This window comes from Homo sapiens, chromosome 9 (genome assembly GCF_000001405.40).
Source record: "Homo sapiens chromosome 9, GRCh38.p14 Primary Assembly".
In the NCBI taxonomy this organism is placed as follows: domain Eukaryota; kingdom Metazoa; phylum Chordata; class Mammalia; order Primates; family Hominidae; genus Homo; species Homo sapiens.
Window position 1 is genome coordinate 129,622,812 of NC_000009.12, and position 27,217 is coordinate 129,650,028.

The following is a 27,217-nucleotide window of genomic DNA, read 5'->3' on the forward strand; positions in this document are numbered from 1 at the left end:
GAGCTCAGGAGTTCGCAATCAGCCTGGGCCACATGGTGAAACCCCGTCTCTACTAAAATACAAAAAAATTAGCCGGGCGTGACAGCGTGTGCCTGTAGTCCCAGCTACTTGGGGGGCTGAGGTAGGAGAATTGCTTGAACCCGGGAGGCGGAGGTTGCAGTGAGCCGAGATCACGCCACTGCACTCCAGCCTGGGCAACAGAGTGAGACTCCATCTCCATAAAAAAAAAAAGAAAGAAAGAGCCGGGCACGGTGGCTCACGCCTGTAATCCCAGCACTTTGAGAGGACAAGGCGGGTGGATCATGAGGTCAGGAGATCGAGACCATCCTGGCTAACACGGTGAAACCCTGTCTCTACTAAAAATACAAAAAATTAGCTGGTTGTGGTGACGGGTACCTGTAATCCCAGCTACGCGGGAGGCTGAGGCAGGAGAATGGCGTGAACCCAGGAGGCGGAGCTTGCAGTGAGCGGAGATCGCGCCACTGCACTCCAGCCTGGGCGACAGAGCAAGATTCCATCTCAAAAAAAAAAAAAGAAGGAAGGAAGGAAGGAAGGAAGAAAAGAAATTAACAGACCCACTTTCAAGTCCATGGTCTGCTGTTTTGCTGTGTGATCCTGGAGAAGTGTCTTCTTTCTCAGGACTCCCTGGGCCTTATCTCTGAGTCTTGGCTGGGAGAGGGCCGAGAGGAAGCTCATAGTATTGTGAAGCTGGGGTGGGAGACAGAGGTCATTTACATGAGTATTTCACTGGCGTGGCATAGTTTCATAATTTGAAAATGAAGAAACGACTTTGTAATTCAAATAACAGAGTGACTCACTAGAGAACGCGTCGCCAAAGATATATTCTATTTTCTGTCAATGCTTCTCACCAGGGATGGAGGGACATACTTTCCTGGAGAGCTACAATATTGAGTGGGGGAGGGAGATATTTTTGTATTTATTTAAAGGGTATGTGTCTTTTTTAATGGCTGCGAAACACCAGATTAACTAGACGGTTTCTTTTTTTCTTTTCTTTTCTTTTTTTTTTTTTTGGAGACGGAGTCGCGATCTCAGCTCACTGCAAGCTCCGCATCCTGGGTTCACCCCATTCTCCTGCCTCAGCCTCCCGAGTAGCTGGGATTACAGGTGCCCACCACCACGCCCGGCTAATTTTTTTGTATTTTTAGTAGAGACGGGGTTTCACCGTGTTAGCCAGGATGGTCTCGATCTCCTGCCCTTGTGATCCACCTGCCTCGGCCTCCCAAAGTGCTGAGATTACAGGCGTGAGCCACTGCGCCTGGCCTAACTAGATGGTTTCTAAGGAGCCCTCCAGCCCTTGCACTCTGCAAATATTTATCAAGGAACTACTATGTGCTAGGCTTGGGAATTCAGAGATGCCAGAGGCTTTGAGGTCAGGGAGCCGGCCAGTCCTGGGAAGGCCTTGGAGCGTGGCTGTGGGGAAGGGGCTTGCTCTTCTGTTGACAGGAAATAAGACAGGGCTGGATTTTTAGGCATACAGAGAGCTTGGATCAGAGCTGCCCCCTGGCGGAGGATTCCGGACACCCCCACCGATTGAAATTGCCCAGGATCAATCCCTTTGCTTAAAGACACAGAAAATGAAGCTTGGGAGAGGGGCTCAGACCAGGGGTAGCAGTTGTGACCTAGAATAGTCTAGAGGGTATGCCAAATAAGATGCACATACACACATCCTGCGGACTCAATGCAGAAGGGGCTTTTTAGCATCCCCTTTCTACCGTAGCTTTCAACACATTTAGAGCAAACACACTTTAAGCACCTTCTGTGTGCGTCGCCCAGAGGAAGGAACACCAGGATAGTATTATTATTATTTTATTTTTGAGACAGAGTTTCGTTCTTGTCACCCAGGCTGGAAAGCAATGGCGCGATCTAGGCTCATTGCAACTTCTGCCTCCTAGGTTCAGGCTATTCTCCTGCCTCAGCCTCAGAGTAGCTGGGACTACAGGCATGCACCACCATCCCTGGCTAATTTTGTATTTTTAGTAGAGACGGGGTTTTGCCATGTTGGCCAGGCTGGTCTCAAATTCCTGACCTCAGGTGATCCGCCTGCCTTGGCCTCCCAAAATGCTGGGATTAGAGTCGTGCACCACCGTGCCCTGCCAACACAAGGATATTATTAATAGTATAGGAAAAATGAACTTAAGATGGATATTGTCATTATAACAGCTTCCATTTCCTGAGAACCCACTGCAGGTGCTGAGCTGAAGGTCTGACGTGCAATGTCCCACAAGTTTAACCCTCTCAGAGCATCAGAAGTTGAGTAATTATTACGTTGCTCAACTTCCTCTTCTGACAGGAGACTGAAGCTCGGAAATGTTAACAGGCTCTACCCACCTGCAAGCTCCCGTTTCCATCACCGCTGCCTCGGAGATAGCTCCAGAATTTCTTTGCATGGGAGGAGCCTAGGGAAGGGCCACGCTTTTGGAATGGAAACGTCATGGGCTTGTTTTGCTCATTTCAGTGGGAATCCCATGGCACTGCCGAGAGTATTTCTTTTTATTTTATTTATTTTGGGGGGTCGGTATTATTTTAAGATGCTAATGGAGATGGGTGGATTTGAGGACCAATGGCTTTTTTTTCCCTTTTTACTCAAAGCCCGCACAACACACTCGTTTTTAGAAGTCCAGCCTGCAGCCTCCAAACGAACTGTTGTACGTGCTGGGGACGGGGAGAGGGCGACGCTGCGGCTCTTTTCCGTTCGGGAGGTCCTTCTAGATTCCCAAAAGTCAATTTAGTCAAGTTTTGAGCTGTAACCTGTGTTGGGCGCGGTGGCTCACGCATGTAATCCCAGCAGTCTGGAAGGCCGAGGTGGAAGCCTCGCTTGAGGCCAGGAGTTCAAGATCAGCCTGAGCAACAGGGTGAGACCCCGTCTCTAATTTTTTTTTTTTAAAGAAGTCAAATTAGGCCAGGTGCGGTGGCTCACGCCTATAATCCCAACACTTCGGAAGGCAGAGGCGGGCGGATCACTTGAAGTCAGGAGTTCGAGACCAGCCTGGCCAACATGGTGAAAACCCGTCTCTACTAAAAATACAAAAATTAGCTGGGTGTGGTAGCTCACGCCTGTAGTCCCAGGTACTCTGGAGGCTGACGCAGGAGAATCGCTGGAACCTGGGAGGCAGAGGTTGCGGTGAGCCGAGATCGCGCCACTGCACTCCAGCCTGCTTGACAGAGCAAGATTCTATCTCAAAAAAAAAAAAAAAAAAATTTAAATTATTTTTCAAAAGAAGTTAAGTTAAATCCGGAGCCCGCGCGGGGGAGGGGCGAGCTGAGCGAGGGGGTGGAGCCAGCCATGGGCCCGCCCCTAAACGCCCGGAAGTGACGTTGGCGGACAAAGGCAGCGCGCGCCGCGAGCTGTCGCGTCTGGTCGTGGTCTGGCGGAGCTGCGGTTGGCTTGTGGCGTCTCCGCCGCCGCCGCCCTCCCTTCCTCTTCCCCATCTTCTTCTCTCGGTCCCGGGAGCCCCCGCCCGGAGTGAGTAGCGCGAGGCGGTGCGAAGGGTAGGCAGCCGCTGGGAGAGGGGAGGCTGCGACCCCTAACTGTTTCGGCGCCCTGAGGTCCCGGGTCCCCGGCTCGTCACGTGACCCGGCGCGTGCGCGCGGGCCGGCACAGGCCTCACGTGCGCGTCCCCAAGAGGTCTACGGGCCGGACCTGGGCAGGGACTACGGAGCAGTCCATGGGTCGGGGTACAGGAGGAAAGTCAAGGCACTCAAAGCCCAGGCAGGGCACTCCCCCACCCCGGTCCCCAGACCGCAGCAAATCCCTTTCTCTGAGCCTGTTTCCCTTCCGAGAAACAGGGATATGGAGAGCGCCCACTTGGAGGATGGATGGGAGGAATCGGTAAAATCGGTAAAATGCCCAGTTCAGAGCCTGGCACAGTTAAGTGCCCGCTGCACAGAAGTTGCTGTCGTATTTAACCTTGGGTGCCACCCGAGCGCCAGCCCGACACAGGTGCAGCTCAAAAAAGACAGCCCGAGAGCCCTTGCGGCCAAGGTCAGCCTGTCTGCAGGGAGGCTGCCATATCGAAAAGCCCAGACTTTGCTGCGCACCAACTGTGTGATCTCTCCCTCTGGACTTTGGTTTCTCCTCTGTACTATAAGTGATTGCCACAACTGGTGTCAGAGGCCCTGACAGCGGGGAGGGACAGTGTAACCGGTGGTTGTGGTGTGTAGAATGATTGCCCAGTGAGATGGGATGAGCCTCTGGGAGGAACCAGGGCTGGTATAAGGAGCCTGGATTCCCTCCTTAATTCTGTTCTCGGCTTCCTGTTTGTATGTTTAAAGACACGTCACTTCCTTTAGTGTGCTGGTTTTTCTCTATGTAAACTGAGGACTGTGCGGGGGTTGGAAGGATGCATGGAGCGTTTTGGTGGAGGCCGGAAGCCCTAGGATCACAAGGATGGCATCTAAAAAATCTCGGTGGGGGTTCTGTGCTTATAGGCAGAGGAAGCTCACTCCCCACTCTGGCTGATTTGCAGAGCTGTTTGAGTCTGCTGGCTTGGCCGCCCAGCATACCAGTAACAGTCCCCTAGGTGTGTCCAATACAGCTTCTGTGGCATTCTAAGGCAGTTTTCCCATTTGATCCTCATAGTGGGCAGAGTTGACAAGAATCTCATTTGACAGAGATTTCTAAGCTCAAGAGAGAATATGTGCCCGGCACTGTGCAAAGCACTTTAAGCTTTTCATATGCACTTTTAATCACAGCCTTTCTGTAAAGTCGGTATTACTGTTCCATTTTATAGGTGAACTGAGGAATGGTGAGGTTTAATGTCTTGTCTGTGCTTACACAGCAGGTGTGCAGAGCCAAGATTCAGATCTGGTTCATCTGGCTCCATCAGAGCCTTTGTTAGTTTTTAAATGTATCCCCTGTTTTGTCTTCTTCCCTCCCTTTCTCACTTCCTTCTTTTTCTTAGAGCACTCTGCCGTTTGCATGTGGCCTGCTGCTGTCCACAAAGATCCAGGGAGGATGGACTCTGTCCACTAGGCTGCTAGAGGGTGGAGGTAACTTTTAGGCAGGCTTTTCCGTAGAGACTTACGTGAGGAGGATGAGATGACTGCAAAAGTCTGCCGGTGACAGTTTCAGCACTGTTTTCTTCCATGGGTCGTGGGAGAAGAGATGCAGTACCTTGGGTCTGAACACCTTGGCGGGGAGGAGGAGGCAGCAGCCAGGTGACTGTGAAGGATGTAGGATCACATTTACTGGCTGAGCAGCCATTTACCAGGCATGAGGGGTTTGTCTTCCTCTCTGAGCTAGCCTAGAGTGCACACAAAGCCCGTGTGCTCCTGGCCCCCTCCCAGGCCCTTCAGCCACATACGGCATCTGTGCTCTGGAGCAGAGTGTAGCAGGACCACCTGCTGTTGGCTGACTGACCTTGCTGTTCCCTCAGACTCTTAGGGACCTCCTCCTGCCCCACTCCAATCTGGACACCACGAGGCAAAATGTAGCCAGGACCCCAGGAATCCCGTTTATTAATGAATCAGCTGTTAGGGCAGATGTCAAAGTCAGGCTTGCTATTTCCCGGCCAGGATGTGCCTCCCCTGGCTTGTTCCCAGAATTTGCGTGTAAGTGGAATTCTTGTAAATTAGATTATTCAGGGGACCCTGACATTTAAAGGAATCATGTTACAAGGCTTTTGGTAAAGCACAGAATTATATTGTCGGTAGCAGCCTTCAGGCCTTCAGTATTTACCAGTTCTGAATGGTTGGACTTTTGTCTGTAGGATTTTCTTAGAGTGGAAAATGGCTATAGCTGCACAAAGCCCATTCTTGCATTATTTGGCAACCAGTTAGTCAATGCCCACCTGGTATCAGGCACTGGGCTAATGGTGTACAAGGTAATGTCTCTACCCCCAGGAAGCTGCATGCTGGGAGAGGAGACGGATGGAGTCCAGCCTGGTATGTGTTTGCCCCCAGATTTATTCTGTTCATTTGATCAGAGGTGAACTTTCTGTTGAATATTTGTGTTTCATGGGATGCAAGAGAAGCATGGTGATAAATCTCAAATGTTGCCACTGCTCTCAGGAGCTCCCCGGCCAGGCGAGAGAGAGAACTGAATACAAAACCTTCAGTTTGCCAAGTTGGGCGGTGAGAGGGAGACAGGCTTGCTCTCGCCATGGTCCAGTCTGAATGGGAGTTGTGCCAGCATGGTGTGGAAGAGTAGTAGTTCGTTTTTTAACCTTTGTCTTTAATTTTCCCAGCCACCAAGTGTTTTTTGTTTTTTGAGACAGGGTCTCGCTCTGTTGTCCAGGCTGGACTCAAACTCCTGGGCTCAAGCAGTCTTCCCACCTCAGCCTCCCAAAGGGCTCAGGTTATAGGTTATAGGTTATAGAGTAGTTTTGAATGCCGTCCTCTCTTGAGTGACTGATGGAGGGCTGTGACATGGTTGCTCCGGTACCTGCTGGCAGAGGGGCAGGCAGCCCACCTAACCTGGTCCTTACGCCATCAGACCATAGCAGCCACCAAACCCAGCTACATGGTGACATTCAGATTGGTGGCCCTTTTTCCTGTCAGCTACCCGGGCACATCTAGCAGTCTTGAGGATTGGCAGGTCTGGTGGGAAGAAGAATTCATTCTTCTTCTTCTTTTTTTGACACAATGTCTCACTCTGTTGCCCAGGCTGGAATGCAGAGGCAGGATCATGGCTCACTGCAGCCTTGACCTCCCAGGCTCAAGTGATCCTCCCACCTCAGTCTCCCTAGTAGCTACTAGAATGTGTGTATTTTTGACAGAGATGGGGTTTCTGAGCCGTGGGCTTCTTTCTCCTTCCGGCAGTGTTGTTCCCAGTGCTGGGACACCAGTGTGGGAGCTTTGTGGTCAGCTTGCGGGGAGGGTGTTATGTGCAATATTTAGAACTAAGGTCCTCCCCAGCCTGTTACCCCAAAGGGCTCCCTGATTGGTGAAGTGACTGCTGCCTTTCTTCATTGTGGCTGAAACCCTTGTGCGTGAACAGTAAAGTGAGGGGTCAGTCTGCGAGCGGATTCAAGAATCTGAAGAGGGAAGCCAGGTGCAGTGGCGTGCGCCTGTAATCTCAGCTACTTGGGAGGCTGAGCAGGGAGGATGGCTTGAGCCCAGGAGTTTGGGGCCAGCCTGGGCCACATAGTAAGACCCCATCTCAAAAAAACAAGAATCTGAAGAGAAGTTTAAGCAGGCTTCTCTCTAGGCACAGCCAAAGGATTCTGCTAAGGGTGAGAAGACCCAATCACGGATCTAAGAAGAACCCCGTTGCATCTGTTAGAAGTATTCTTGAGCTGGCTGGGCGGGGTGGGCCTACTGCTTCTGGAAAGTTCCTTCTCTTTCAGGACAGGTTCAGAATATAGTAGTGCAGAATATAGTTCTGGGGCCAGTAACAAATTTGACCAATGAAAAATCTTGGCTGGGTGCAGTGGTTTCTGCCTGTAATCCCAACACCTTGGGAGGCTGAGGCAGGTGGATTGCTTGCAGCCAGGTGTTTGAGACCAGCCTGGGCAACGTGGCAAAACTCCATATCTACAGAAAATACAAAAGTTAGCCAGGTGTGGCGGTATGTGCCTGCAGTCCCAGCTACCCTGGAGGCTGAGATGGGAGGATCACCTGAGCTGTACTCAAGTCTGGCGACAGTGAGACCCTTTCTAAAAAAAAAGAAGAAAAAATTCTCCAGCTTGTCTTGTGTTTAGTTTCCCTTCTCTTTCCTCATAGTTGCTTCCCAAAGGCCTCGTGCTCCTTCTCAGGGCATTTTCCCGTTTCCCTCTGACCACTTCTCTTGAAGCCCCTAGAGTGTTCCTGGGTCTTAAGCTTTGAGTTGTGTTTGAGGACTGTACCCGAGTTCCATATGTGGACTCTTCCGTGTTGACCCTGTAGCTCCAGGAGTCAGGCAGACGGTCTTGGACCTACGATTTGTCAACTTTGGCGACAGGCATTTGCTAGAAGCCCCCTGCTCTCCTCGTGTGGAGGCAGCACGTGCGAGGCGGTGAGCTGCAGCTCCCAGTCAGCTGCGCGTTTTCCACCGAGGGTATTTTCCCTTTACCATGGGTTTATCAGGATGTAGCAGCTGCTGCTGCTGGGATTCCTACCACCCACTGTTGCTGTGTGTCCTCAGCACGGCCACTGCCATTCTCACTCTGCCTCCTTTAGGTTAGGCCTTGGCAGTGTGGGAAACACATCAGCCGAGAGTTGGTGCCCAGCATGCACTCGAGGCCACCCTCATCCAGGCCCCGTCTGCCTTTCCGAGCTCACCTTCCACAGTCTTCCCCCGCTCCACTCTCCGCCCTCTGATGGCCCATGCTGTCCCACGGCTGCTCCCTCTGTCTGCCCCACCCCCTCCAGCACTCCCTGTGCTTGGCTGCCCAGCTCGGGCTGCCTCCTCCAGGCGGCTGCCCCTATCTGCTGTTGGGAGGAGATTCCTCTGCCCTTTGAGTGTCCTCGACACTTTGTGGGTCCATGAGAATCCTTATTTTTCTGCTGTGTATTTTCTTTCCCTTTGTTCTTTGTCCTCCTGGACTAGAGCTCTCTGAGGTCTTGGCAAGCCTCACAGCAACTAGAACAGCCCCTAAGCGTGGTGTGCCTTGGTGACAGCACTGTGCCTTGGGAAGCTTATGGCAGAATGGCCACCCGTGGAGCACGGAGCCGCCCAACTGTCATCGCTGTCCTGAAGGGTGAGGTGGGCCTGGGCTCTGCTGCCAGGACCCAGCTGAGGCTTTCTAGTTCTCTCTCCTTCTACCGTGGCAACCGTCTCCTCATCCCCCTGCCATCTCCACCGCCGCCAGCAGTCTTCAGAAGCATCGGTCTTCCCGGGCCACTCTCTGTTGGGCCTCAGGGTGGTTGACTCATTGCTCTGTAGGATGCAGTCGAAACTGCTAGAGTTGACTGTGAGACCAGGAACTGGCAGCCGCGAGGGCTGTCTGTCCTTCCCTCCAGGAGCAGTGCCGTCGCCCTCCACCTACTGCGCTTATTCTTGCCCATCCATCGGTTTCAGCTTACGCGTCCCCTCCTCAGGGATGCCTTCCCTGGTCCCCGCACCCGACTCCACTTCCTCCCTCCGTGCTCTGCTGGCACTGGCGCTTCTCCTCTGCAGCCCTCCCTGCAGGTGTGGTTGTGTCTGTAGAATTGTTTTCTGCCTGGCTGGCTGCCTGGTTCACAGCCCGGTGCCTGGCACAGAGTCCCCACTCCTTGTTAACGGAGGACTGGACCCCACCGTGAGTTGTTGCTGTGCTCTGAGCCAGAGGAAGGGAGGCGTGGAAGCTTCCCTGGCCCTCCAGGGTCTGCTGGTGCTCTCGGCTTTGCGGTCGTTTCTCTTTATTGATCAGGGTTTTCTGTGCCCTGAAGCCACTGAGTCAGGTGTCATATAGAGCATATCAAGAACTTGAAGCCAGGCCAGGCACATGGGCTCACACCCGTAATCCCAGCACTTTGGGAGGCCAAGGTGGGAGAATCTCTTGAGGTCAGGACTTCAAGACCAACCTTTGTAACATAGTGAGACCCCATCTCTACAAAAAATAATTAGCCAGGCATGGTGGCACACAACTGTAGTCCTAGCTGCTCCGGAGGGTGAGGTGGGAGGGTCTCTTGAGCTCGGGAGTTGGAGGCTGCATTGAGCTATGATCACACCACTGCACTCCAGAAAAAATAAAAATGTAAAAGAACTTGAAGCCAGGACTTGGGGCGGGTGCTCTGAGTGCAAAAGACAGAAGATGCTGTTATCCAAGGGGTAGAAGCAGATTTGGGGACCCTGGACTTCTCTCTGCACTCAGCAGGATGTGTGACTTGTGAAGCCTGGTGTGAGACTGGCCCTCTGCCCTGGGGGCCTTTCTGCCAGGTCCCTGGCCCGCTGACTCACGCCCCCTTCCTTACCCAGGAGAGTCGCGGTTGCTGATCGTGGTGCTTGAGTAGAGCCGTGGTTGGTGACAGCATGACGAGCGAGGTGATAGAAGACGAGAAGCAATTCTATTCCAAGGCCAAGACCTACTGGAAACAAATCCCACCCACGGTGGACGGCATGCTTGGGGGGTATGGCCACATCTCCAGCATCGACATCAACAGCTCCCGGAAGTTTCTGCAGAGGTTTTTGAGGGTAGGCAGGTCTGGCGTGCTCTCCAGGAGAGGCTGTGGCTCTGGTGGCACTGCCGAGTCCATGTGGGGTGCCACCTTTTACACATGTAACACTGCAGGATTGTTGGCTATCTCTTGGTACCTACCCCAAAGCCTTGAGGAGCTGGGCTGGGTGGGCACAGTGGGGTAACTTCTAGATTGTGGACTTAGCCTCAGGGTTACCAGACAGGAGCTGGCTGTTAGGCAGAATTGAGGTGCCTGAATTGGGCAAACCTCTCTTCAACTGTTGGGTTTTGCCAGGGACGAAACCCTTGCTCTCCTGCCATGTCCACGGGTGTTTGGACTGAGGGTGTTGGCTATTCTGGACGAAGACTCCTAGTTATGTGCCATGGTTTCCACCCTCTGCTCCACCCCCAGCCTTTTCTGTACCAGGCTGGGACCCCCAGTCCTGGAGCCCCCCACCTTCTTGTCTCATGGCTGGCACTGGAGGCTGCTGTTGGCCACCTGCTCCATCCAGCGCCTCCCCTCCCTCCATGTTCCCTCTCTGCACCCTTGTTCACCTGTTGCCCCGCTTCCATTCTCCCCATTCCTCTCTGCCGTTGTTTACCTGGAGACTCAGGAGAGATTAGTGCACCTGTTCAAGTTATCACCTTTAAGTGGAAATTAGCTTTCATTTAGAAATGTGTGGCCCAGGGCAGGGGCAGTGGCTCACTCCTGTCATCCCAGCCCCTTGGGATGCCAAGGTGAGAGGATTGCTTGAGCCCAGGAGTTTGAGACCAGCCTGGGCAACAGACCGAGGCCCCGTCTCTACAAAAAATACAAAAAAAAAAAAATGAGTTGGGCATGGTGGCGCATGCCTGTAGTCCCAGCTACTTGGGAGGCTGAGGTGGGAAGATGGAGGATGGCTTGAGCCCAGGAGTTCGAGGCTACAGTGAGCCATGATCCCACCACTGCATTCCAACCTGAACAGAATGCAGAATGCAACCTGAACTTTCAAAGATAAAGGAATGTGTGGCCCAGCAGTGTGTCCTCCCATGCTCATCCCCTCGACTCCGTACAAGCTGGCAGCCAGCACAGACCTCCCCACCAGTGCTCAGCTTGTGCGGAGTCCTGGAATCCTGACTTGAGTCTAAGTCCTAGGGCTCGTGAGGAAGGGCCGCACGTGCGGTGACAGGGTCCCTCTGATAGGTTATATGCCTCTGCTTTTCAGGAAGGCCCGAACAAGACAGGAACGTCCTGTGCCCTGGACTGTGGAGCTGGCATTGGGAGGATCACCAAGCGGCTGCTCCTGCCGCTGTTCAGAGAGGTGGATATGGTCGACATAACGGAGGACTTCCTGGTTCAAGCCAAGACCTACCTGGGGGAGGAGGGCAAGAGGGTGAGGAACTACTTCTGTTGTGGGCTCCAGGACTTCACCCCGGAGCCGGACTCTTACGACGTGATCTGGATCCAGTGGGTGATAGGTGAGGGTTCCACCGCCCTTCCCTGCTCACCTGTATGTCTCCTGCCACTCGCGTTCCCCATAAGGTGTCAGGACCAGGGCTTTGCACTCCTGCAGCAAGTGGGCCAGTGAGGATTCCCCACCCCGCCCAGGCCCACCCCCACCCCGTACTTCCCAGGACTGAGGGACAGGCTCGGCCTAAAAGGTAGATTTCTTCCTTCTAGGTTTTGTTTCAGTTGAATACCTGCTACCATCCATTTGGGTGCAGTTTTTTGTTGAAAAAATTTTAATGGCCAATAACTTACTGCATTCAAAGTGAGGAGTTTTATAAGGGTTTTATTTTTAATAAGATGAATAGTTTAAGCTTCGTGTCTAGCCCTGCACCCTCTTAGCCTAACAGCACACCTCGAGCGCTGTGCCCTGGGCTGCTGACGTGGCGGCAGGCCGCTAGCAGCAGTCGGCCACCTCCTGAGGCGGGCAGCACAGGCCTGCTGTGGACACTCTAGGTCTGGCCTTGTATTTTGTGGTCTCAGAAGCCTTTGTGGGGACTTCTAGTGTAGGGAAGGCAGTCTCTCTGGGAGCTCCTGCAATGCCAAACTCTTAGCCCAGGTTCACTCCTCCGATCCAAGCCTGGCAGGGGTGGGGCATCATGGTGTGTAGGTATCAGGCAGGACTTGTAAGCCATCCCGTCAAGTCAAATTCTGGCTTAATGTGTCTTTAGGTAGATGACCTCTGAGCCACAGTTTCCTATTCTATGAATTGGGGTTTAGTAAATCTCTCGGGACTGAGAGCCAATGAGGCCATGTGTGCACACAAAATGCTGGGCACAAATGAGGGGCTCAGCGGGGCTGAGAAGTACATCCCATCCAGTGCCGACATCCGCTTGCATGGTGCCCTGGTAACCTTGCCTCTGCCCTCCCCAGGCCACCTCACCGATCAGCACCTGGCCGAGTTCCTGCGGCGCTGCAAGGGCAGCCTCCGCCCCAACGGCATCATCGTCATCAAAGACAACATGGCCCAGGAGGGCGTGATTCTGGACGACGTGGACAGCAGCGTGTGCCGGGACCTTGACGTGGTCCGCAGGATCATCTGCAGTGCAGGCCTCAGCCTCCTGGCCGAGGAGAGGCAGGAGAACCTCCCCGATGAGATCTACCATGTCTATAGCTTTGCCCTGAGATGAGCCGGGGCTGGCAGGAGAAACTGAGGAACCACAGTCCTGGTGGGGGGAGCTGGCAGCTGGGCAAGATCCAGGCGCCACGCTGGCGGTTCGTGAGTGTCGAGGCACCACTAAATATAGCTGTCTGCCGTCCACTCATTATGCGGGCTCTTCTTCAAAAGGCAAGGTGGGACCCGGCGGGGAGGGTGCTGCTGAACCAGCGGTGAGGCAGGAGCCCAGACCCTGCTCTCCTGCGAGATGGGATTGGGTGGAAGGGGCTCCAGGGCTCCTGGTGCTCCCCATGTGGGAATAGGGTGGCCACATCAGTAACCGATTCCCTGGGCCTCCAGCCCGGCCTTCCAGCCATGGGCCTGGCTGCCTGAAGAGGAAGGAAACCACCCCCAACTTGGTTGCTGGGGACTTGAAGACTTCAGTGTGATCTTTACCTAGGGGAGGGACAGAGCTGGGCTGGTGGAGCCCATGGGTGCTGCCTGATGGTGCTGTGGGGTGGGTGCTCATGTGCCAAGTCCTGCTTGGCAGTGGAGACCTGGGGCCCTTAAAGTGTTACAACAGCCTGCAGCAAGGGAAGTTCCCCGTAGCCTCAGTCTTCTCTGGGCTTGAGGCTGCTCCTTGGCAGGCATTTAAAGTAAAAAATAAAATGGGGCTGGGCGCGGTGGCTCACGCCTGTAATCCCAGCACTTTGGGAGGCCGAGGCGGGCAGATCACGAGGTCAGGAGATTGAGACCATCCTGGCTAACAGGTGAAACCCCGTCTCTACTTAAAATACAAAAAAAAAAAAAATTAGCCAGGCGTGATGGCGGGCGCCTGTAGTCCCAGCTACTCAGGAGGCTGAGGCAGGAGAATGGGGTGAGCCCGGGAGGCAGAGCTTGCAGTGAGGTGAGATTGCGCCACTGCACTCCAGCCTAGGTGACAGAGCGAGACTCTGTCTCAAAATAAAACTAAAATAAAATGGGGGCCGGGCACAGTGGCTCATGTCTGTAATCCCAGCACTTTGAAAGGCCGAGGCAGGCGAATCACCTGAGGTCAGGAGTTTGAGACCAGCCTGACCAACATGGCGAAACCCCGTCTCTACTAAAAATACAAAAATCAGCCAGGCATGGTGGTGGGCACCTATAATGCCAGCTACTCAGGAGGCTGAGGCAGGAGAACTGCTTGAACCTGGGAGGCAGAGGTCGCAGTGAGCCGAGATTGCACCATTGCACTCCAGCCTGGGTGACAGAGTGTCTCGAAAAAAAAAAATAATAAAATGGGACCTCCACACTGTGGAGGCCCTTGCCAGTCTAGAGTGGTGCTTCTTTGCAGGGACTTGGAAACAACCCCCCAAACACAGCATCCCCTCACACCTGCCACCCACTTCCTTACCGGCTGCTGTGGGAGCCTCTATCCTGAACTATGGAGGGGCGGGGTGGAAATTTTATATAAGGACCTTGTTAAGGCCAAGAAAGTCAGTTTAATCTTATAATATAAATATATCATTTAGTCACCTCAGCTTATCCCCAGAGGTGTTTACACAATTCCCAATGACCAGTGCAGCTTGGAAGGGACTGAGGCTCGCAAGTGGGTGGCACAGTCGGCTCTTCAGTGGCTCCAAAGTGAGCCCCTCACAACAGGAGACACTTCAGAGAGGTCTGTCCCCAGCCACGCACTCATGATTGCTTTTTAGCAGAAGTCATGGTCGCTGAGGCCCTGGGTTTGGCAAAAGCACAGCTGCCAGCAGAGCACAGTTCTGGTAGGTGGGGCCACGGCTGACCTGGCCCCAGAGCTACAGGAACAGGCAGGGGCCAGCTTGGCTTGCAACACCATGAAACAAGCCTGTGGGGCCCTTAGTGTCTTCTCCCGCAGAGCCCACCAGAAACACTTCTGTGAGTAACAGAACCTGGAAGGAAAAGGGGCAGGGGTGGGGCCTTGGTGGCACCGCACAGGACGTGCCCCAGGCTTCCTCTCCAGCTGCACTGCCACGTGCGGCCAACAAGAGCCCCGCAGCCCTGGGGTGCTGAGGCTTGGTCCTTCCCAGCTTCTGCAAATGCCCTGGCACTGCCCTCCAATTCAGAGGGTATAAACATCAATCCAAGCCCTGTTCCTCTTTCCAACATGGGGGGGACTTGGAGTGCCGCTGGAGGGAAGGGGGCAGTCTCTCTGGAAGAACCAGAGCTGCACCCTTCACCACTGGAGTGATCACAGCTTCAGGCTCTACCTGGCTGGCTTTTCTCATGAAGGATCCCGTCTCATCTCCCAGATCAAAAAGACCCTCTTCTAATGCTGTCCCAGCATCTACCAACAGGCTGACCTGAGCTGCCCGTGTCCCCCGTTCCTGTAGCCTGAGACCTATCAGATGTCATCTTCCACGGAGCCACTGTGCTCGCTAAGGAGGTACCACTTCAGCCTGTCGGGCAGAGGCAGGGCTTTGACCTTCACATCCACAGGCCACGGCTGAAGGTAGAGCCGGATGGCCACACGGCACAGGTGCTTGAGGGGCGGGGGATAGCTCTCCAGCTGCCTCAAGGAGAAGTGGAGGGCCTGGATCTTTTCCGCCAGGCTGCCCACAGGGTGGATATCGAAGTTTTCGGGCAGCTGGAGTTTCTGAGAGTTGGTCACCATGAGATCCAGGACAGTCTCAGCTTTGCGCAGGAGGTCCGCATGGCTCTCGTCTTCCGTGCAGCCTGGGTGGGAACAGAGCCTCTCAAAGATGATGTGAAAGCCAGACCAGCAGGACGCACCGTGCAGGGAGCAGTTGTAGGCGGCTCCGGACTCCAGGAGGAAGCGCAGGAGAGGGAAGTGCAGTTTAAAGCTCTTCAGGCAGATGTGGGTGAGGGACTCGTGGGCTGGGCACTCGCTGGGGTCGGCCCCGTGTGCCAGCAGCAGCCGTGTGACTTGGAAGCAGAAGCGGTTGATCATCTGGGCCTCCTCTTTGTCCCCTCCCACGGTCTCACCAAGCAGGAAGATGATGCAGGTGAACACTGTGTCCCCATCTTTGGTGGTGGCCTTGACGTCTGCCCCTAGAAGAGCCATAGAACAAGAGATGCTGGGAGAAGGCCTTCAACCCTGGCAAAGCAACAGCACACATCGAAGGGGCGGGTGAGAGGACGAGGCCTAGGAGCGCGCCAGCCTCACCTCCTTCCAGTAAGAGACGAATGTTCTCAGTATTGTGGATCTGCACCCCGTCGCTGCTGGCCAGAGCATGGAGCAGAGCAGTTTTTCCTAGGGAGGGAGGGAGAGCAAGGAGGAGCAGGAGGCCAGGAAGCCCAGGTCAGGGCAACCCAGAGGAGGTGGCAGAAATCCAGACACTCAGAGGATCAGAAGATGAACTTTCAGAGACAACTCTCAGCTCAGGTGAGGGCTGAGGGTGACAGGCTTCTGGCCATTCCCTTTCCACCCAGAGAAGTGGGAGCGGAAAGGCCAGGAAAGGTAGGATTTTTCTGGACCCCAAGATGCTACCTGAGATGTTGGCTGGGCCTCTCCCAATGGGAAGCCATTGTTTCTTGGAAACTAAGTGCACACATGCCCTATTTCTTCCTATAGAAGGCCCTTGAGGGCCAGCACAGGGACAATGACTGCACTGCCTCTCTGAAGCCTCTGAGCTCAGCAAGTCAGCAGAATCCCTGTGTGCCCAGCCATGCTGTGCCACCAGCCAGGGCCAGCATCCAGTCTGCCCACCTAGCTGTTGTCCTGGGGCACCCTGGGTGTCCCCCACAAGGTGCCTGGGGGCCCAGCTGTCCTGCTTTCCTGCAGGAGGCACCCACCATGCTTGTCAGCGGCATTGACATCAGCTCCAAGGTCCAGGAGGCGCTGCAGGCAGGGCAGGCGCTCAGGCTCCTCGCTGGCCAGGTCCAAGGGGCTACTCTCGTGGATCTGAGCCAAGGAAGCACAGCCAGGTTGGCTTGGGAAGCTGCTCAGGCCCCTGCCCAACCCTGCTTCAAAGCAAGCTGGACCTGGCACTTACCCGGTCCCTCCGATTAACGTCGGCCCCGTGATGCACCAGCAGCTCCACCATGTCCGGCTGGTTCCGCAGGACGGCGATGTGCAAGGCCGTGTAGTAGGTGACTGGGTCTGAAGGTGCAGACACAGCTCATGTGGGTCCTATCTGTCCGCATTCTTATGGGGCCCCCGGACCCAGAGCCCAGCCCCAAACTCCCACCTAAAGTGTCCAGAAGCACAGGCCCAGCCTCCTGTCACCATCAAGGGTTAGGACAGAGCTGTCCTCACCAGATACTAGAGGGCCCTCGGGGTGTTCTAGTGGGCACGCTACTGAAGCTGTTGGGGGCTTTAGTTTCCTCTTCTGTAAGAAGGGACCATAAAACGGGGCGCACCCTCTCAGAATGGCTGGGAGGCCGCGCTACACAGCAGCTCTGGCGGCTCTGCTTTGTAGGCCTGGTGGTAACAGCCAGGTTCTCCAAGCTGGTCTCCAAGTCACTGGCTTCAGAACCGGCCCTCCCGTCTCAGCTCCTTGACCCTCCAGGAGCCCAGCAGACTCCAAGCCCGTCTTCGGATGGGGAAAGGAGACGTGCCTGGCTGTCTCAGGCCCCTATTAGGTCACAAGGCAGCCCTGCCTGTCTGCCGACTAACCCTGCCCTCCCTGGGCTGAAAAACACAGAGAAAGGAGCTCGGCTCCATCTCCATCCCTGGCACTCAGGAGCCAGGAGCCAGGGTGTCCTGTGGTGATTTATGCCTAATGCAGCCTGTTTTCCCCTCTCCCTACGGCATGAGAAAAAAAAAAACAAATTGGCTCAGAGTAAGTAGCAGAAAATTACCTTCCCTTAGCTCTGGGCACAGTGCCAGCAGCCGCATTTTTGCATTAATGGAAGTGGGGATTAATCTGGGAGCTGGGGAAAGTTTGCTAATCAATCACATGGTAGAAGCAGCAACACTCGCTCTTGGAACAGAGGTGGGAAGAGCCATGTGAAAACCCGCAGGGGGTGGGAGGCCACCCAATGGGAGTTTCCTTAGTTGCAGCCACCCAGGAAATAAAGGGGGGGAAGTCACTCCTCAGAGGATGGTAGAAGCCAAGGCTGGGGACATGGGCGCCCACCCAGCGTCGGGCCGCGTTTAAGCCACCTGCCCACCCCCGGGGCTCTCGCTGACCTTCAAAGTTGAGATTGGCCCCATGCCGCAAGAGAACGTCGGCCGCCCGCGTCAGCCCCAGCTCAGCCATCTTGAGCAGGGCGTTGCTCACGCCTTCCTGGTAAAAGGGAGAGTGGGCTTTCCTCTCCAGCAGCTCAGTGAGAACAAGGATTCGGCTCTCCTCGCTGGCGACATAACTGGGCCTGGGACAGGAGAGAGGCTGAGGGTAGGCACAGCTGTGGGACCGGGTGACCGCGCAGCCTGTGGGTTGGTGGGCTTTAGTCCTGCTATCATCATCAGCAAGCAGGGCCCTGGCTCTGTGGGTCACAGGGGCTTGGGGGAAGCTCTGAAGTAGAGAGAGGGCCACGCTGCATCTCTTAATACGGGAGCAGACTGGGATTTGCGGAGAATGGGCTGGGTCTGTCTGCGCTCTCCTCCCGCGTTGCCCAGAGTCCGGTCGCAGACTTAGGTACAAAGCCTCACACACCTGGGCTGCTGGGACTGAAGGGACCACCAGCCTGGAGGCCAAGAGCCCAAGCCCGACTTTGATGCTTCTTCCTCAGAAAGCCCTTCCATCCTCAAACCCGCAGGACCCCAGCCCCGGCAACACCTGCAGCCAGGACAGCAACACAGCCTCCTCCCTCCCCTCACATTGAGACCTTCAGCTGATATTGATGAAGAAAGCCTACGTTTCCACCAGAGTCCCTGGATGGCGAGACTCATCATTACCACGTGTTGGAAATACCAACTGACAACCCCCTCAACACCTGAGCCGAGCCCCTTCCTTCTGCTCTCCCCTCCCTTCCACCTCGCGTGCCGCCGTACAATTACTTGTCAGTCTCTCCTCTGGAGCACATGCGCCAAGAAGGCGGGGGTTTTGCTGAGCCACTGATGGACCCCAGGTGCCTAGTACCATGGGCAGTGAATGCAGATTCGCTCCCGACCCCTTTCCTGCAGGTCCACGACAGACCAGCTCTTGTCTATAAAAACGCAAACTCTGCTACAAAAGCCCACCTTCACACTGCTCTGGGGTAACATCTGAGGCCTCACGGATTCCACCCTGCTCCTCTGCCACGCCGGGGGGTGGCACAGGACAGGCAGGCGACAGGGTGGGGCTGAGGCGCAGGCCCTGCGACAACCCGCGGGCCTCCGCCCTCGGGCCCTCCCCGCCCTTCGTCTCCGCCATGCAAGGGGCAGGAGTGGGATCCGCGCGGGGCAGCGCGCACTCCGAGCCACGCAACCCCGGCTTCCGCCCGTCCCTTCCTCTGTCAAGGGGGACGCATCCACCCCGCCCGGCTTGTGGTGATAAAGTGGGACGCTGCGGGGTCGGAGCGGCCTCGGCCAGCTCACGGGAGGGGGTGAGTTACCGGTCCAGAGACTCCTGCCGCTCGGGGTCCTGGATCCCCAGGGAGCCCAGAATCGCATCCACCAGCGGCTGGTACTCGAAGATGATCCTCCGGAAGCCGTGCAGGAACGGCATCGCCGCGGGCCCCGCGCAGCAGGGCCGTCGCGCTTTCTGCCGAGGCCGAGATGCCCAGACGCCGACCGGAACGCTCCGGCGGCCGCGGACCCCACCTGCTCCGCCAGTCCAGCCCCTGCGCCCGGCCGGGTCCGCTCCTCAGTCCAAGCCGCGCCCCCGCCGGAAGTGACCCTCGTACTTCCTGCCCGCGCCGACTCAGGGTGGGCCATATGGCGACAGCGCCCCCTGCGGGCTCGGAGGACCTCGGCGCGTCCTGGGGCACGACCGCCAGGCCGACTCGGGCGATGTCCAGTGGGCGGCCCCAGCGGAGTGGGAGAGTGGAGGATCGAGCCAAGCCAGATCCGAGACTCAGGCGGGTCCGCCCCTTCCTGCCAGGGCCCGGCCCGGCTCGGCTTCGCCCTGCGATCCCGCCCGCGACCGCTGGGCGCCGTCCGAGTTCCGCCGGTCGTGCTCTCGGCCCTGCCGCTGCCCCACTGGCCCTGGGCGCCCCTGAGAGCTGTGGTCATCAGACACTGCCCCTTCCGGTTCGGGCTGGCCCTCGCCTTCCCTGAAGAGGGGCTGGGCCACCTCTGTCACCACCCGGCCCGCTGACTGGAATGATGAGGACCAGGGTACTCGCACGTCCCCTCCTCAGTTTCTTATTCTCTGTCCCGGGGAGCACCTGGCCAGGACGGCTGCTAGCCCTCTCCACCTCTGCCTTGATGGACTCAGTGAATCTTGTTTTTTGTTGTTGTTGTTTTTGTTTTTTTGGGGGACGTAGTCTCGCTCTGTTGCCCAGGCTGGAGTGCAATGGCACGATCTCGGCTCACTGCAACCTCCGCCTCCCGGGTTCAAGCGATTCTCCTGCCTCAGCCTCCCGAGTAGCTGGGATTACAGGCGCTGGCCACCACGCCCAGCTTATTCTTGTATTTTTAGTAGAGACAGGGTTTCACCATATTGGCCAGGCTGGTCTCGAACTCCTGACCTCGTGATCCTCCCACCTCGGCCTCCCAAAGTGCTGGGATTACAGGCATGAGCCACGGTGCCCAGCCCGAATCTTGTGTATTTTTTAGAGACAGGGTCTCACTCTGTCTCCCAGGCTGGAGTGTAGTGTAGTGATCATGACTCACTGCAGCTTTGAACCCCTGGGCTCAGGTGATCCTCCCGCCTCAGCCTCCCGAGAAGCTGGGAACACAGGAGTGTGCTACCGCCTGTCTCTGAACTTGGATTTCCTCATCTGTAAAATGGGTAGAATCCCCAGCACTTTGAGAGGCCGAGGCAGGTGGATCACCTGAGGTCAGAAGTTCGAAGCTGCAGACCGGCCTGGCCAATATGATGAAACCCTGTCTCTACTAAAAATACAAAAATTACCCGGGCGTGGTGGCAGGCGCCTGTAATCCCAGCTACTTGGGAGGCTGAGGCAGGAGAATTGCTTGAACCCGGGAGGCGGAGGTTGCAGTGAGTGGAGATCGCACCATCACACTCCAGCCTGGGCAATAAGAACGAAACTCTGTCTCAAAAAGAAAAAAAAAAAGTATAATCACACTCACCTGAGATGCTGGAGCCAGCGCACTGTAATTGTTGGTGGAAGTGGAATTCAGTGGGAAGGAGCCAAAACCCTCTGGTTCAGGAAGAAGGGGCGGAGTGGGCAGCCGGGTTTAAGCCCCTTTAGGGCAACACCAGCTTGGGCTTCCTAGAAGCAGCTCCAGGCCGCAGAGTCCACAGCTGCCAGCACGTTTCTGCCTTGGTTCTCGCTGTAGGAAAGAAATTTCTCCCTGGGTGAAATCGGGAAATTCTGCTCACATGGAAATGGACATTTCCAGCTTGCCTTGGAAAAACCACTTTTCTGGAGTCGAGGCACCTCCCCTTGGGCCATGCATTTGAGCCTCCTCTCCCACCTGGAGTCTGCGTGGGGGGGCCTTGATGCCTTCTTGCTTCTGGGAAGCTGATGATGAAGAGGGGTTTCCCGCCCCAGCAGTCCACATCACAGCGTTGGCCTCCTGGGCCTTGCTCTGCCAAGTTGGGCCCCTCTCCCTGGAACCTGCCAGACAGCGAGAGTTGCCCAGCCCAGGAAAAAAACATTTAAAGGCGCATTTCAAGACAATCCGATGGGTCTTAGAGTAAACATTTTTATATTTATTTATTTATTATTATTATTATTATTATTTTTCAGACGGAGTCTCACTCTGTTGCCTAAGCTGGAGTGCAGTGGCAGGATCTCGGCTCACTGCAACCTCCAACCCCTGGGTTCAAGCCTACCAGGTAGCTGGAATTACAGGCATGCGCTACCACGCCAGGCTAATTTTTGTATTTTTAGTAGAGACGGGGTTTCACCATGTTGGCCAGGCTATTCTCGAACTCCTGACCTCAGGTGATCCACCCGCCTCAGCCTCCCAAAGTACTGGGCTTACAGACGTGAGCCCACCACGCCCAGCCAGATGAAACATTTTTAAATGGGCAGAGTAAGGCCCTCTACCATGTGCAAAACAAACTGTACAAGAAAACCCAAAGCAACGAGCCTCAACCGGCAAGGTTGAGGGTGTGGCAGCAGCGGCTGGTAACTGCTGGCTCTGGTTGTTAAAGCTGTTGTCAGATCCAATGACAGGCTCTCGGAAAACCACCTCCGACGCCAGGCATTCAGAGTGCCTCAGTTTGCTTCCTCTTCCATTACCTAAAGGAGTAGGAAGGAGGGGTGGGGGTGGGCAGCTGGGTTCAAGACCCTTTAAGGCAACACTAGCTTGGGCGTCCCAGAAGCAACTGCAGACTACGAGGGCCCACGGCTCCCCACACATGTCTGCCTTGATTCTTGCTGAGGGAAAGAAGTATCTTCCTGAGGGAAATCGGGACATTTTGCTCCCAGGGAAATGGAGATTTTCCAACTTGCCTTGTAAAAATCAGAAGGGCCCAGATTCTTACCAGACAGCGATTTGCATCCAGATGGGGTGCTTGCCCTGGGTGCACCTGCCTGGGCATGACTCTGAGCGTTTGGAAGTGTCTGCCCCTGCTTGAAGGGTCCCCCTCAATGGATCGCGAGGCCCTGAACGGTACAGCCGCTCTCAGGCGACCCAGGTCTTCACAGCCCCTCTCTCGTTTGATCACACAACACATTTGATCACGTGACACCATGCCCGTGTTGAGTCAGGCCTCGGTCTCCTCACCTATGTGATGGCCTTTGGCCCTCAACCCTCAGGAGACGGAGGCCTGACTTACCCAAGGGCGCATGGTGAGTAACTGCGGGAGGTGCAGTCCCGTGGGGTCCCGGTGGAGCTGGGTGGGCTGACTTCGTCTGAGCCCTGCTTTTGCCCTAGGGCTGCTATAACAAGGTGCTGCAGACCTGATGGCTTAAAACAACAGAAATTCACTCCTTTACAGTTCTGGAGGCGGAAAGGTCAAATTCAAGGTGTGGGCAGGGCCACGCTCCCTCCAAAGACTCCAGAGAAGGTCCCTTTCTTGCCTCTCCCACTCCTGGTGACCACAGGGGTACCTCGGCTTGGGACAGCAGCACCCCAGTGTCCACCTTCCTCTGTCTCCACACAGCCTTCTTCCTGCTGTCTATGCCACTGTCCAAATCCCCCGCTCCCTTCTTTTTCTTTTTCTTTTTTGTTTTGTGTTTTGAGACAGAGTCTCGCACTGTCGCCAGGCTGGAGTGCAGTGGTGCGCGTGTGCCACCACCCTCAGCTAATTTTTTTTTGTATTTTTAGTAGAGACAGGGTTTCACCATGTTGGCCAGGATGGTCTCGATCTCTTGACCTTGTCATCCGCCCGCCTCTGTCTCCCAAAGTGCTGGGATTATAGGCGTGAGCCACCGTGCCCAGCCTTCCCCCTCCTTTCTAAATGGGCATGGGTCACTGGATTTATAGGGCGCACCCAAATCCATTATGGCCACATCTTAATTTGATTACATCTGCAAAACCCCTTTTTCTGAACGAGGTCACGTTCCAGGCACCAGGACTAGGACTGGAACATATCTTTTTGGGGAGCACACATAAACCCACTGTCACGAGTGACCCTAGGCATGGCCCTTCTGGTCTCTGGGCCTCAGTTTCCTCACCTATAACCTGAGGGCCCTCCCAGCTCTGACAGTCTTGGAGCCAATGACGAACTCCTTGACGTGGCTGGTGGGCTCCGCCGACAGAGAAGGAGTGAGGAGGGGGCCATTATAATAACAACAACACGAGCCCACTTGTATTTACGGAGACCCTTGTACATGCCAGGCACTAGATATGCTGAATGTTTGGTGCACTGATCTCCCTAAATCCTGTTAAGTAGGTGATATTATTACCCCATTTTACAAAGAAACGGGCTCAGAGAGGTTTGGGCGCTTGTCCCAGGCTGCACTGTGAGGTTGGGCCTCCAGCCCCGGTCGGTGCAACTTTTCCACGCTTCCTGCCTCCGAGACTCGAGTGTCCTCAGCTCCTCCAGCTCTGGGCTCACGAGTCTGGACATGCAGGAGGGGGAGCTAACCCCCGCCCTCTCACAGCCCTGGGGCACCACCCTGTGGGGCTGGCCCTGCTGCCTGCCCGCCGCCCAGGCTCCTAACTTTAGAGGGCTTTGTGCCCCCTGACCTCCCTCCTGTCAGCAAGGGCAGACTTGTTTCCTCCATCTGCCTCCCATTAGGGCTCTGTCACTCAGAGCCCCTGGTTCCAGCTCTCCGCTTCTCTCTCTTTTCCTTGTCACTGCCACTCACCGCCTGGCCAGCCCAGCCCCTTCCTGCCACCCACCTCCAGAGATCTTCAGCAGGATGGGGGTCCTGGGGACAAGGACCCAGAGCTCAGCCCTGTCCCTGCCTCCTAGTCCTCGGGGAGTTTGGGAGTCACTCCGACTCGTCAATGTACAGAGGGGGATGACCTTAATATATAAAGAGCTGCTAAAAATCAACAACAAGAAGGCAAAAACACCAATAAAAACATGGGCAAAGGACATGCACAGGCAAGTCACGAAGGATGAAAAATGGTCAAAAAACAGGGATAGACACTCAGCCTCTCCTGCGGTCCAACAATGATGGTAGCTGGTAACACGTGGGGTCCTTCTCTATAACAATCCAACAGAGCCCATTACAGAATAGCAGGTACCATATGGTCCCATTTAGGAAAATGTGTGTGTGCACGTGTGTGTGTGTGTGTGTGTGCAGGAATCATTCTTGAACGCCCCATGCTGAGATGTTAATGGTGGTTGTTTTGGGTGTTGGGATCTGGGAATTTTTACTCTTCTTTGTATGTGGATATATTTCCTCTTTTTTCTCCAATGAGTGTGTCTTACCTGAGACTTATTAATAAAACATTATGTAAGCCCAGGGCAGAGAATCAGGCCCTGACACCCCTCCTGGGGTTGAAGGCAGGCCCTGAACACCAGCAGGGGGTCCAGGCCTGTCCATAAAGCCTTCTCCCTCTCCCAGCCCATGGACTGACAGCCTCCTCCTCAGCACGCAGGCCACTCACCCTTGAGGTCCCCTCAACCTGGACTAGCGCTTCGCTCACTTTCCTCCCGAGTGGCCGTGAGTCCACCCGCCCACCCGCCCAGGCTGGCTGTAGGAATGGCCAATCGGCAGCAACTGTGGTCTCTGCTCGAGTGTGTCCTACTCCCATGCATTCAGTAAGAAGCTCAACAAGTCTCATCAGTTCATCGCGACACCCCAGGAAGTGACCCCAGGACTCTGGTGTCAGAGTCTAGGAGAGATGGCTGACCAAGCCAAGGTCAGTGAGTGAGGGGCCCAGGGAGGGGGCTTCACACCCAGGGCCTGGCTTCCAACCCCTACTGGAGCCCCACAAAGCGCGTACTCACACTTGCACACACACCACTCAAATACACTCCCACACGCTCACATGCACCCCACACACCACTCACACACACACCACTCAAATACACGCACACACGCTCACACGCACCACACACACCACCCACACACCACACACACACACCACTGAAATACACTCACACACGCTCACACGCACCACACACACACACCACTCACACACACCACTCACACACGCCACTCACACACGCCACTCACACACATACACACCACTCACACACACACCACTCACACACACACACCACTCACACACATACACACCACTCACACACACACCACTCACACACACACCACTCACACACACACCACTCACACACAACCACTCACGCACACACATCACTCATGCACACTAGCACACACACCACTCACTCATACGCACCACTCACACTCACATACCACTTACACACCACTCACCCATACACACACCAACATACACCACTCATACACCACTGTAACACACACTACTCACACATACGCCACTCACACCACACACATACACCACTCTCACACACACGTGCCAGGCTGGGCAGCTCCAGGGAGGAGTGGTCTGGCCCCATCCCAGCACCTTCGCCCTCCACGGTGCCTGCTGTCTCCCCAGGAGGGGCTGTCGGCTGCCAGGCCTGTCCCTTAGAAGGCCCTGGAGGGGGAGAATTAGGGAACCCCTGCCTTTTATTTCTTCTCTTTTTTTGATTGGCGGCATTTCCATAAAGTGAGATATTTAGAAACATACACATCACCACAAGGACCATTTCAGAGCCTCCAACTTCAGCCCCCGGGCAAGTCCCCAGGGCACCGGGACAGACGAGGGCCCGGCATATTTCTGAAGTGTGGTCATGGAAGTGCCGCCCTCCGCTTCCCCCCCTTCTGCCCTTCTTCTCCTGCCTGGCTCCCCGCTCCTTTCCTTTCCTCCTCCCCCCACACCCTGACCCCACCCTGACCCCCGACCCTCATGACCCAAGAGTGTCCCTGCAGGAGGCCCAGCCTGCCTGTTCCTGCCACAGTCCTCAGGCTGGAGGGGCAGGGCCTGGATTCCTGGGTTCCCAGAGGCCTAAGAGTCTGTCTGCTCAGGGGAGAAACTGAGGTAGCAGGGGCTGGAGCAGGGGCCGTGCGGTGGGGCCGTGTGGCAGGACAGTGGCCGGGCCAGCGAAGGGCTTTTTCTGTCCCCTCCCTTATTCTGTTTACTGTCCTAAGAAGCACCAAGGAGCATTTCGGGGGCCCCAACCCCCAGGGCGACAAGCCCCAGAGACCTCTGTGCTTCTGATGGCCGGGCTTGCTTTCCCCTCCCTACCCGCCCCCACCAGGAAGCCCTCCCTGCCGGCCAGAGCCCCCTACTCCGGCACAGACACTGCCAGGTGGTTCCTGGTGCTTGGTCCAAGGGCGGGGCCTGTGACAGCCAGGTAAGGGTGGGGCCAGGCCCCAGTGAAGCCCCCAGGTGGGCAGCCCAGAGCCTGGGACGGGATGCCGCAGGACCCCTCTTTCTCTACTGTTCCCCCATGCCCACATGGAAGGCCCTGCCTGGTCCCCGCCTCTCCCAGGTGAGGTAAGTCAGCAGCCCAGAGCAGGGTGGGAAGGTGCTGAGCGCCCCGGGGGTCTCGCCCTGCGTCTGGAGGGAGGCTGGGGCCTGGACTTTGGCCTGGGCCTCTCTCAGCCTCACTGCCCATCTGCACACGAAGGGGTGGGCCCAGGGTTCCCCTAAATTTCTTTCTACCCCAGAAGTCAAGGGTCCTACTGAGAGCCTAGCAGGCAAGGATTCTGCCCATGGCGATTCTTCCCATGGAGGAAGCCTTCCAAGAAAGGCTTCTTCACCTCGGCCTGTCTCGGGGGCAGATCCTCGCCTACTAAACTCGGGTCAGCCTGCCCCCGCTTCTCCCAAGCCCGGCGAGGAGATCCCAGCTCGGGCTCGCCTTCTCTAAACCTTGCTCATTCTGCCCAGTGGAGGCCGGGGAGGGCGCCCAGTAGGTCTGAGCCTGCCCCAGCTCTGGCTGGTAAATGGGCCCAGAGTCCTGATCCCAAAGATTCCCCCATCTCACCCTGGCTGGCACCCACTTGGCATCAGTCGCTGGCAGGCCAGCCCCAAGGTCAGAGCTCTGGGGTGGGGGCCGCTGGGGCCCCTCCAGCCACTGCAGTCTGACCCAGGGTGGGTTCAGGAGCACTCAGACCCCTTTGGAAGTGGCAAGGGCAGAGGCAGGGGGCCAGAGTCCTTTGTGCTCCCTGGGAAGCCCCCCACTCCACCCCCAC

General features: G+C 55.8%; 2 protein-coding genes across 18 annotated transcripts in view, besides 9 other annotated features; one reads left to right on the plus strand and one right to left on the minus strand.

Moving 5' to 3' along the window:
* Positions 1-13,324, plus strand: part of NTMT1 (N-terminal Xaa-Pro-Lys N-methyltransferase 1) — a 27,264-nt gene extending 13,940 nt beyond the window's left edge. For 2 of the 15 annotated variants that reach the window (NM_001286796.2, NM_001286797.2), the window contains exons 2-4: positions 9,839-10,054; positions 11,243-11,495; positions 12,397-13,324. In NM_001286796.2, coding sequence (NP_001273725.1) covers positions 9,893-10,054; positions 11,243-11,495; positions 12,397-12,653 — 672 coding nt within the window. In that variant the 5' untranslated portion in view covers positions 9,839-9,892 and the 3' untranslated portion in view covers positions 12,654-13,324. Of the gene's footprint in view, positions 1-2,485; positions 2,502-3,351; positions 5,905-9,838; positions 10,055-11,242; positions 11,496-12,396 lie in introns of those variants that run through there. The other 13 variants (XM_047423258.1, NR_104596.2, XM_047423257.1 and 10 more) reach the window with 13 other exon arrangements.
* Positions 1,273-1,412: an enhancer, noted in NCBI's record as "active region_29117". NCBI's record gives its function as "activates an Ori minimal core promoter by ATAC-STARR-seq in GM12878 lymphoblastoid cells {active_cell/tissue: GM12878}" and the evidence as "EXISTENCE:reporter gene assay evidence [ECO:0000049][PMID:35858748]".
* Positions 1,423-1,472: an enhancer, noted in NCBI's record as "active region_29118". NCBI's record gives its function as "activates an Ori minimal core promoter by ATAC-STARR-seq in GM12878 lymphoblastoid cells {active_cell/tissue: GM12878}" and the evidence as "EXISTENCE:reporter gene assay evidence [ECO:0000049][PMID:35858748]".
* Positions 3,325-3,863: an enhancer, noted in NCBI's record as "H3K27ac hESC enhancer chr9:132388415-132388953 (GRCh37/hg19 assembly coordinates)". NCBI's record gives its function as "activates a minimal SCP1, AML or CMV promoter by ChIP-STARR-seq in naive H9 embryonic stem cells {active_cell/tissue: H9 hESC(naive)}" and the evidence as "EXISTENCE:reporter gene assay evidence [ECO:0000049][PMID:30033119]".
* Positions 3,477-3,716: a silencer, noted in NCBI's record as "silent region_20386". NCBI's record gives its function as "represses an Ori minimal core promoter by ATAC-STARR-seq in GM12878 lymphoblastoid cells {active_cell/tissue: GM12878}" and the evidence as "EXISTENCE:reporter gene assay evidence [ECO:0000049][PMID:35858748]".
* Positions 8,540-9,330: an enhancer, noted in NCBI's record as "H3K4me1 hESC enhancer chr9:132393630-132394420 (GRCh37/hg19 assembly coordinates)". NCBI's record gives its function as "activates a minimal SCP1, AML or CMV promoter by ChIP-STARR-seq in primed H9 embryonic stem cells {active_cell/tissue: H9 hESC(primed)}" and the evidence as "EXISTENCE:reporter gene assay evidence [ECO:0000049][PMID:30033119]".
* ASB6 (ankyrin repeat and SOCS box containing 6) lies at positions 11,794-19,340 on the minus strand. Of its 3 annotated transcripts, NM_017873.4 has the most exons (6): positions 19,076-19,340; positions 17,730-17,911; positions 16,591-16,697; positions 16,391-16,499; positions 15,762-15,848; positions 11,794-15,646 (listed from the first exon to the last, which is right to left on the minus strand). In NM_017873.4, exons 1-6 carry the CDS (start codon positions 19,186-19,188, stop codon positions 14,979-14,981), a joined length of 1,266 nt encoding a protein of 421 aa, NP_060343.1. In that variant the 5' UTR covers positions 19,189-19,340; the 3' UTR covers positions 11,794-14,978. The 3 variants fall into 3 exon arrangements, with proteins under 3 accessions (NP_060343.1, NP_821066.1, NP_001189332.1); NM_177999.3 differs by lacking the exon at positions 16,391-16,499; NM_001202403.2 differs by lacking the exon at positions 15,762-15,848.
* Positions 17,286-17,843: an enhancer, noted in NCBI's record as "H3K4me1 hESC enhancer chr9:132402376-132402933 (GRCh37/hg19 assembly coordinates)". NCBI's record gives its function as "activates a minimal SCP1, AML or CMV promoter by ChIP-STARR-seq in primed H9 embryonic stem cells {active_cell/tissue: H9 hESC(primed)}" and the evidence as "EXISTENCE:reporter gene assay evidence [ECO:0000049][PMID:30033119]".
* Positions 17,844-18,400: an enhancer, noted in NCBI's record as "H3K4me1 hESC enhancer chr9:132402934-132403490 (GRCh37/hg19 assembly coordinates)". NCBI's record gives its function as "activates a minimal SCP1, AML or CMV promoter by ChIP-STARR-seq in naive and primed H9 embryonic stem cells {active_cell/tissue: H9 hESC(naive and primed)}" and the evidence as "EXISTENCE:reporter gene assay evidence [ECO:0000049][PMID:30033119]".
* Positions 19,107-19,706: a silencer, noted in NCBI's record as "silent region_20387". NCBI's record gives its function as "represses an Ori minimal core promoter by ATAC-STARR-seq in GM12878 lymphoblastoid cells {active_cell/tissue: GM12878}" and the evidence as "EXISTENCE:reporter gene assay evidence [ECO:0000049][PMID:35858748]".
* Positions 24,574-25,322: an enhancer, noted in NCBI's record as "H3K27ac-H3K4me1 hESC enhancer chr9:132409664-132410412 (GRCh37/hg19 assembly coordinates)". NCBI's record gives its function as "activates a minimal SCP1, AML or CMV promoter by ChIP-STARR-seq in naive H9 embryonic stem cells {active_cell/tissue: H9 hESC(naive)}" and the evidence as "EXISTENCE:reporter gene assay evidence [ECO:0000049][PMID:30033119]".

Bases quoted from the DNA above. Each gene is read 5' to 3' on its own strand.
- ASB6 (NM_017873.4), bottom strand. From the start codon at position 19,188: ATGCCGTTCCTGCACGGCTTCCGGAGGATCATCTTCGAGTACCAGCCG. The intron at 17,912-19,075 runs GTAACTCACCCC...CTCCTGTCCCAG, and splicing joins CGGCAGGAGTCTCTGGACCG to GCCCAGTTATGTCGCCAGCG. The intron at 16,500-16,590 runs GTAAGTGCCAGG...TCCTTGGCTCAG, and splicing joins ACGTTAATCGGAGGGACCGG to ATCCACGAGAGTAGCCCCTT.